At 41.7% G+C, this 9,353-nt stretch overlaps 2 annotated features.

Moving 5' to 3' along the window:
• Positions 1,292-1,461: an enhancer, noted in NCBI's record as "experimental_110294 CRE fragment used in MPRA reporter constructs". NCBI's record gives its function as "activates a minimal promoter by MPRAs in K562 erythroleukemia cells, with activity observed for both the introgressed and non-introgressed 9:97310865 variant alleles {active_cell/tissue: K562}" and the evidence as "EXISTENCE:reporter gene assay evidence [ECO:0000049][PMID:34662402]".
• Positions 1,777-1,946: an enhancer, noted in NCBI's record as "experimental_110288 CRE fragment used in MPRA reporter constructs". NCBI's record gives its function as "activates a minimal promoter by MPRAs in K562 erythroleukemia cells, with activity observed for the introgressed 9:97310380 variant allele {active_cell/tissue: K562}" and the evidence as "EXISTENCE:reporter gene assay evidence [ECO:0000049][PMID:34662402]".

The following is a 9,353-nucleotide window of genomic DNA, read 5'->3' as shown; positions in this document are numbered from 1 at the left end:
ATAGAATATATTTATAAAATTAGGATTATTTTTAAACAGTATATCATACTTGTTGGCTTTATGATAACTTAGAAGTAATATTCTGGATTAACTGTGACTCATGAGAGAGGGAGTTTGTGCAACTATAATCTTTACAAATTTTTTCTAGATTTTCAAGACTTACACTAGAACTGTGAGAACAAGGTAATAAATAAGCATATCTAATAATAGCATCTTTGGTCAACTCTTGGCTAGACCCAGTGATAGTGTAGGGATTAGCGTAATTTCTGCCACTAAAGTTAATGGATTTGTTTTGCGAGACCACAGTTTAAACATTGACATACAAAGTTTAAAAGTGTTAGATTAAAAATTTTTTAATGCCTTTGAAATTGTTTTATAGAAAAATAATGATCTGTCCTGGTTTACATTGATAGGTTTTTTTTTTTTAATAAGAAGCAGACCAAGAGAAAGGGAGAGTAGTGAAAAAGTCCAGGTTTTCAAGTTTGAAAAGTAACAATCAGTGTATTACAACAGATGGATTTGAGGTCAGGTTACAAATGCGGAAAACATTACATATAATCAACTAGCCAGAGTAATTATACAAGGCAAAAAAATGAAAGGCATCCAAATAGGAAAGGAAGAGGTAAGATTGTCTCTGTTTTCTGACAGTGTAATCTTAACATAGAGAAAATCTTGGACTCCACCAAAAAAAAAGTTAAAGCTTATAAACACATTCAATAAAGTTGAGAGTTACAAAATTTAACATAAAAATATAATTCTTGTTTCTATACACCAGTAACAAACTGCTACCTGAAAAATAATAAAGTAATTCCATTTATAATAGTATCAAAACAAATATATAAGTAAAAGACTAGGGGGTAATTTTTATGAAGGATGTGAAAGATGTGTATACTGAAAATTATAGCACATGGATGAAAGAAATTGAAAGTGACATAAACAGAAAAACATCCTATATTTATGAACTGAAAAAATTAATATTGTCAAAATTTCAATGCTACCCAAAGCAATCTACAGATTAAATGCAACCACTATCAAATTACAATGCCATTCCTCACAGAAATAGAAAAATTAGTCCTAAAATCTGTATGGAACCGCAAAAGATGCTGAAAAACCAAAGCAATCTTGAGCAAAAAGAACAAACCTGGAGGCATCAGACTACCTGATCTTTGATAAAGCAAACAAAACAAAGTGGGGAAAGGATACCCTATTCAACATATGGTCCTGGGATAATTGGCAAGCCACATGCAGAAAAATGAAACGGTTCTTCAAAAGGTTAAATATAGAATTACCACGTGACTCAGTAAATTCACTCCTATGTATACCTCAAAAAGAAATTAAAACAAGGTGCCTGCACAAAAAGTAGCATACAGGTATTTATAGCAACAAAAAGTAGGAAACAACAGAAATGTCCATCATTAATGAAATGTGGCCTGTCCATAAAATATTGACAATGAAAAAGAAAGATATTAATACATACTCTGAAAAGGATGAACATTGAAAACATGATAAGTGAAAGTAGTGAGTCACACGTAACTGTATATTATTATGATTCTACTTCCATGAAATGTCCAGAATAGGCAAATCCTTCCAGAATAGGCAAATTCTTAGGAAATAGATGGATGGTTGCCTAGTGCTGGGAGGGGTTTAAAGAAAGAGTGGGAAAAATTGCTAATGGGTGTAAGGTTTCTTTTAAGGAGCATAAAAATGTTCTAAAATTATGTCGTGATTGTTTATCCACCCAGTTAATAACACTAAAAAAATTGAATTTTATACTTTACATGAGTGAATTAAATAATACATAAATTATATCTCAATGAACCTGTGGAAAAAAGTTAAAAAATATGTGTATGCACACACAAAAAAATTCTTTATCTTATTTCCATAGGTTTTTGGGGAACAAGTGGTGTTTGATTATATGAGTAAGTTCTTTAGACGTGATTAGTGAGATTTTGGTGCACCCAACACCTGTGCAGTATACACTATCCAACTCGTAGTCTTTTATTTCTCACCCCTTCCCACCCTTTCTCCCAAGTCCCCAAAGTCCATTATAGTATTGTAATGCCTTTGCATCCTCGTAGCTTAGCTCCCACTTACAAGTGAGAGCATACGATGTTTGGTTTTCCATTCTTACATTACTTCACTTAGAATAATAGCCTCTGATCCCATCCAGGTTGCTGTGAATGCCATTATTTTTATCCTTTTTATAGCTAAATGGTATATGTGTATACATATATATATATACACACACACACACCACAATTTCTTAATCCACTCATTGATGAGCATTTGAAATTGTGAATTGTGCTGCTATAAACGTGCATGTGCAAGTATTTTACTCACTGCAAATGAAGTTGAACATCCTTTCATGTGTTTACCCACTGTTTATACTTCCTCTTGTGAGAAATGCCTGTTCATAATCTTTGCCTTTTTTTTATTGGATTGTTAGATTTCTTACTGATTTAGAAGAGTTCTTTATATAAGCTAGATACTAATTTCCTGGTTATATGTTCTGCAATATTTTCTGCCAGTTTATGCATTGCCTTTTTTACTCTCTCCTTGTCTTTTCAAAGAACACAATTCTTGCTGGGTGTGGTGGCTCACTCCTGTAATCCCAGAAATTTTGGAGGCGGAGGTGGGCGGATCACTTGAGGTCAGGAGTTTGAAACAGCCTGGCCAACATGGCAAAACCCCATCTCTACTAAAAGTACAGAAATTAGCTGGGTGTGGTGGCACATGCCTGTAATCCCAGCTACTTGGGAGGCTGAGGCATGAGAATTGCTTGAACCCAGTGGATGGAGGCTGTAGTGAGCTGAGATCATGGCACTGCACTCCAGCCTGGGTGACAGAGAGAGACTCCATCTCAAACAACAACCACCACAAAGAACACAATTCTTAATTTCTATGGAGCAAAGTTTATCAATCTTTTATTTGTGAATTTTGTTTTTTGTGTCTTGTTTATGAAATCCTTTCCTATCTTGAGATTATAAAAAGATATTTTGTATTTTCTTCCAAATTTTGAAACGTGGCTTTTTCATTGATCCATCTGGAATTGAGTTTGTGTACAGTTTGAGGTATGGATCCAGAATCAGTTTTTTATACACAAATAACTAATGGTTCCAACACTGTCTTAAATATTTCTTTTTTTCCCTATTGATCTGCATTCCCAAGCATTTTCATACGTAGATCTGTTTATGGGGTCCCCATTACATTTCATTGAGCTATCTGTCTATCCCTGATCCAGTATATCATGATATTTTAACCAACAGAGCTTTAAAATATATTTTAATATCTGATGGGACAAGTCCTCCCTTCCCCTAACTCACATTTGCTGACTCCCCAACATATTGCCTCAAAAATTCCTCAATAATGTTCTGTGTTCTCCCATCATAAGCTAAATTGGAACAACATAGTGCTAGATTGCAAAACTCAGTTTACCTAACTTGTGTGGAGGTCAGCCCAGCACCACATGTTGATAGCCATAAGCAGGTATTTGTTTCATAGGTGTGCATGGGAATGCTAATAGTATTGTCTAGGCTTCATGGGTTTTTTCTATGGGGAAAACATTTTGGTAAACGTTAATTGATCATGGAGAACTGTCTGTGAAAATTGCAAGGGTATGAGTAATCATATCTAGTTTTTAGATAGAGAAGTTGAGGCACAGAGAGATTAAAGTGTGATAATAGGGTTAAAAAGTAATGAGGCTAAAGAGCCCCAGGTTGCCTGACTCTCAGGCCATCCCCTTCTTATAACTGGAATAATGTTGAGAGAGTCTCCACCTAACTCGTAAAGGTCAGAATGCAAACTCTTTTTAGGAATGTGACCAGCTTTCTAGGAAAAGAGCTGCTTTTGTTAGGACTCAAGTGTTGGTGGGAACAGGAGAGGTTGCAGTTATAGTTTCTTTATCTACTTCTACAGACAGAAGTTAGGAGCTTCTTTTCTCTCAGTCATCAGCTGTCACCCATCATCTACCTGGGAGCAGAACCTCCAGTGAAAGTGAGATGAGATAGGTAATGCAGCAAGTCAAAGGGAAAGATGGCAAACATCTTTGGGGGAGCAGGCTTGAAGGATGAAGAGAAACCTACTTTTGGTTAAGCGTGCAATGACTGGCTGCAGTTATCTTAGGATAAAAACTCTGGATTCTATAAATCTCTTCATCCCAATGATTTTTCTGTATTCTTTTCTTCTTGTGCTCCCTCCCTAGCCCACCCCTCTTGCTCTGTCTCGTCTGTTAATCTCTGCTTCTATGCCTAGAGACTTCTGTTCCTGAAAGATGCCATTCTATACAAGTTCTTCCATTTTGCTTTTAGATGTTTTCACACCGTGCTGGCACTCTTGCTTCAGATCTTTGTTGAGGTTCTTTATCATAATGCCCATTATGTAATGTAGTAACAACTGTTGCCTATGTTTACAGCAGGCTAAATGAGGAAATGCCAGCTGTATGACTTTATTTCATGCGCGTCTGTGTGAAGAGACCACCAAACAGGCTTTGTGTGAGCAACATGGCTGTTTATTTCACCTGGGTGCAGGTGGGCTGAGTCCGAAAAGAGAGTCAGCAAAGAGTGGTGGATTATCATTAGTTCTTATAGGTTTTGGGATAGGCGGTGAAGTTAAGAGCAATGTTTTGCGGGCAGGGGCCGATCTCACAAAGTACATTCTCATGGGGAGAATTACAAAGAACCTTCTTAAGGGTGGGGGAGATTACAAAGTACATTGATTAGTTAGGGTGGGGCAGGAACAAATCACAATGGTGGAATGTCATCAGTTAAGGCTATTTTTACTTTTGTGGATCTTCAGTTACTTCAGGCCATCTGGATGTATACGTACAAGTCACGGGATGCGATGGCTTGGCTTGGGCTCAGAGGCCTGACGTTCCTGCCTTCTTATATTAATAAGAAAAATAAAATAGTGTTGAAGTCTTGGGGCGGCGAAAATTTTTGGGGGGTGGTATGGAGAGAGAATGGGCGCTGTTTCTCAGGGCTGCTTCAAGCGGGATTAGGGGCGGCGTGGGAACCTACAGTGGGAGAGATTAAGCTGAAGGAAGATTTTATGTTAAGGGGTGATATTGTGGGGTTGTTAGAAGAAACATTTGTTGTGTAGAATTATTGGTGATGGCCTGGATACGGTTTTGTATGAATTGAAAAACTAAATGGAATAAGAGAAGGAGAAAAACAGGTATAAAAGGTCTAAGAATTGGGACGACTCAGGACATCTGATTAGAGAGTGCCTAAGGAGATTCAGCATAGCCCTGCCAGCAAAGATTATTTATTTACTTCAAGAGTTAAGAATGGCAGTTTGGGGATAGCACGAGGAGATATCAGCTGTGATGGCTTGGAGAAACAGTGTAAACCGGCAGTGTAAACAAGAGCAGGGCATGTATGAGTAGTTGAGAACGGAGAATAGGAGTATGACTAGACAGAAAATAGTAGGGATGACAAGTTTTTTTGGGGCACAGTCTAAGTTGGCCCGGTGTCTGGAATGAGACTGGGGCCTAATAAAAAGGAGCTCAAATGGGCTGTACCTTGTAGCAGTCCGAGGACAGGCCTGAATTCTGAGAGAAGCAAAAGTGGTAAAAGTATTGTCCAGTCCTTTTTAAGTTGGTGGCTGAGCTTGGTGAGGTGTGTTTTTAAAAGACCTTTAGTCCATTCTACTTTTCTTGAAGACGGAGGACCGTGAGGGATATAAAGGTTTCACTGAATACTAAGAGCCTGAAAAACTGCTTGCCTGATTTGACTAATAAAGGCTGGTCTGTTATCAGACTGTATAGAGGTGGGAAAGCTAAACTGAGGAATTACGTCTGACAGAAGAGAAGAAATGACTGCAGTGGCCTTCTCAGACCCTGTAGGAAAGGCCTTTACTTATTCAGTGAAAGTGTCTATTTAGACTAAGAGGTATTTTAGTTTCCTGACTCAGGGCATGTTGAGTAAAGCTAATTTGCCAGTCCTGGGTGGGGCAAATCCTCGAGCTTGATGTGTAGGGAAGGAAGGGGGCCTGAATAATCCCTGAGGAGTAGTAGAATAGCAGATGGAACACTGAGAAGTTATTTCCTTGAGGATAGATTTCCACGATGGAAAGGAAATGAGAGGTTCTGAGAGGCAGGCTAGTGGCTTATACTATAGCATAGCCTGCCTTTGCTGGTGTGTGGCAATTAGGCCTGGTGGAACTGCCATCAATAAATCAAGTGTGATCAAGGTGAGGAACAGGAAAGAAGGAAATATGGGGAAATGGGGTGAATATCAGGTGGATCAGAGAGATACAGTCACGGGGGTCAGGTGTGGTATCAGGAATAATGTGGGAGGCCAGATTGAAGTCTGGGCCAGGAACAATGGTAATTGTGGGACTTAACAAAGAGTGAGTACAGCTGAAGGAGCCGGGGAGCAGAAAGTATATGCGTCAGGTATGAGGAAGAAAATAGATTTTGGAAGTTATGAGAAATGTAGAGAGTGAGTTGAGCATAGTTTGCGATTTTTAGGGCCTCTAAAAGTATTAAAGCAGTGGCAGCCGCCGCACGCAGACATGAGGGCTAGGCTAAAACAGTAAGGTCAAGTTGTTCGGACAGAAAAGCTACAGGGTGCGGTCCTGGCTCTTATGTAAGAATTCTGACCATGCTAACCATGCCTAGGAAGGAAAGGAGTTGTTTTGTAAGGGATTGAGGTTTGGGAGATTAATCGGACACGATCAGCAGGGAGAGCACATGTGTTTTTACGAGAATTATGCCAAGATAGGTAACAGATGAGGATGAAATTTGGGCTTGACTGAAGTAATGGGGTCTGTCTGTGAAGCCTTGCGGCAGTACAGCCCAGGTAATTTGCTGAGCCTGATGGGTGTCAGGGTCAGTCCAAGTGAAGGTGAAGAGAGGCTGGGATGACGGGTGCAAAGGAATAGTAAAGAAAACATGTTTGAGATCCAGAACAGAATAATGGATTGTGGAGAGAGGTATTGAGGATAGGAGAGTATATGGGTTTGCCACCATGGGGTGGATAGGCAAAACAATTTGGTTGATAAGGCGCAGATCCTGAACTAACTAGTAAGGCTCGTCGGGTTTTAGGACAGGTAAAATGGGGGAACTGTAAGAGTTTATAGGCTTTAAAAGGCCATGCTGTAGCAGGCGAGTGATAACAGGCTTTAATCCTTTCAAAGCATGCTGTGGGATGGGATATTGGCATTGAGCGGGGTACGGGCGATTAGGTTTTAATGAGATGGTAAGGGGTGCATGATCGGTCGCCAAGGAGGGAATAGAGGTATCTTATACTTGTGGGTTAAGGTGGGGGATACAAGAGGAGGACGCAAAGGAGACTTTGGATTGGGAAGAAGGGCCGCAATGAGATGCAGCTGTAGCCCAGGAATAGTCAGGGAAGCAGATAATTTGGTTAAAATATCTCGGCCTAATAAGGGAACTGGGCAGGTGGGGATAACTAAAAAAGAGTGCATAAAAGAGTATTGTCTAAGTTGGCACCAGAGTTGGGGAGTTTTAAGAGGTTTAGAAGCCTGGCTGTCAATACCCACAACAGTTATGGAGGCAAGGGAAACAGACCCTTGAAAAGAAGGTAAGGTGGAGTGGGTAGCCTCCGTATTGATTAAGAAGGGGACGGGCTTACTCTCCGTGAGAGTTATCTAAATCTCAGCGTCCGTGATGGTCTACGGGACTTCCGAGGTGATTGGGCAGCGTCAGTCTTTAGCCGCTAAGCCAAGAAGGAGTCAGTCAGAGAGCCTTGGGCCAGAGTTCCAGGGGCTCTGGGAGTGGCTGCCAGGTGAGTTTAACAGTCCGATTTCCAGTGGGGTCCTGCACAGATGGGACACGGCTTAGGAGGAATCCTGGGCTGCAGGCATTCCTTGGCCTGGTGGTCAGATTTCTGGCACTTGTAGCAAGCTCCTTGGGGAGGAGGTTCTGGAGGAACGCCTGGCCGCTGCAGTTCAGGCGTTTCGAAGTTCTTGTGTGCTGGAGATGTGGCTGGGGTTTGTCTCACAGTGGAGGCAAGGAAGTGCAACTTTTTTTTGTTATTGTACACCTTGAAGGTGAGATTAATCAAGTCCCGTTGTGGGGTTTGAGGGCCAGGTTCCAATTTTTGGAGTTTTATTTAATGTCGGGAGCAGATTGGGTAATAAAATGTATATTGAGAATAAGATGGCCTTTTGACCTTTTAGGGTCTAGGGCTGTAAAGCGTCTCAGGGTTGCTGCCGAATGAGCCATGAACTGGGCTGGGTTTTTATATTTGCTGAAAAAGAGCCTAAACGCTATCTGATTTGGGATAAAGAAAAAGGAGCATTAACCTTGACTATGCCTTTAGCCCCAGCCACCTTTTTAAGAGTAAATTGCTGGGCAGGTGGGGGAGGGCTAGTCACGGAACGAAAGTGTAAGCCGGACCAGGTGTGAGGAGGGGAGGCGATAAAAAGATTATAGGGTGGAGGAGCGGAGGCTGAGGAAGAATTGGGACCTAGCTTGGCCTGGCGAGGAGGGGAGGGGTCAGATGGGTCTGTAGAAAAGGAAGATTAGAAAGACTCAGCGACGCTTGGGGTTGGGACTGAGGGGACAGGCGGGAGGGAAAGAAGGAAGATTTGGGATGAGTTGCACTGGGCACAGAGACTAGGAAGGGACTGATGTGTAAAAGAATGCCTGGATGTCAGGCACCTCAGACCATTTGCCCATTTTACGACAAGAATTATTTAGATCTTGTAGGATGGAAAAATTGAAAGTGCCATTTTCCGGCTATTTGGAACTACTGTCAAGTTTGTATTGGGGTCAAGCGGCATTGCAGAAGAAAATAAGATGCTTAGATTTTAGGTCAGGTGAGAGTTGAAGAGGTTTTAAGTTCTTAAGAATACAGGCTAAGGGAGAAGGAGGAGGAATGGGAGGTGGAAGGTTGCCCATAGTGAAGGAGGCAAGCCAAGAGAAAAGAGTAGAGACATGGAGAAGGGGTGGGGGCTTCTTGCCCTCCAGAAAAGCAGAGAAAGGGTTGGGGCATGGAAATAAGGGATTGAGACACAGAGATGAGAGCTTGGGGTGCAGAAATAAGGGATTGGGGCACAGAGATAAGAGGTCGGGGTGCGGAAATAAGGGATTGGGGCACAGAGATAAGAGGTCGGGGTGCAGAAATAAGGGATTGGGGGTTCTTGCCCCCTAGAAAAGCGGGACTTGCCGCTAAGGGTGAAGGAGAAGGGGTTGAGGGGTACTTGCCTCTCCCCCAGAAAAGCAGAGAAGGGGTAGAGACAAGGAGAGAAGGGGTTGGGGGACTTGCCGCTAAGGGTGAAGGACCAAGGCAGGTGTCCCTGCATGGTCTGACGCCTTTGAAATGTGGGTGAATCAAATACCAAGGGGAGGCTGCCTTCCCAGTCCGTGACCGGCGCCGGAGTTTTGG

The sequence above is a fragment of the Homo sapiens genome, chromosome 9 (genome assembly GCF_000001405.40).
Source record: "Homo sapiens chromosome 9, GRCh38.p14 Primary Assembly".
In the NCBI taxonomy this organism is placed as follows: Eukaryota; Metazoa; Chordata; class Mammalia; order Primates; family Hominidae; genus Homo; species Homo sapiens.
This window is presented reverse-complemented; position numbering and strand designations above follow the sequence as displayed.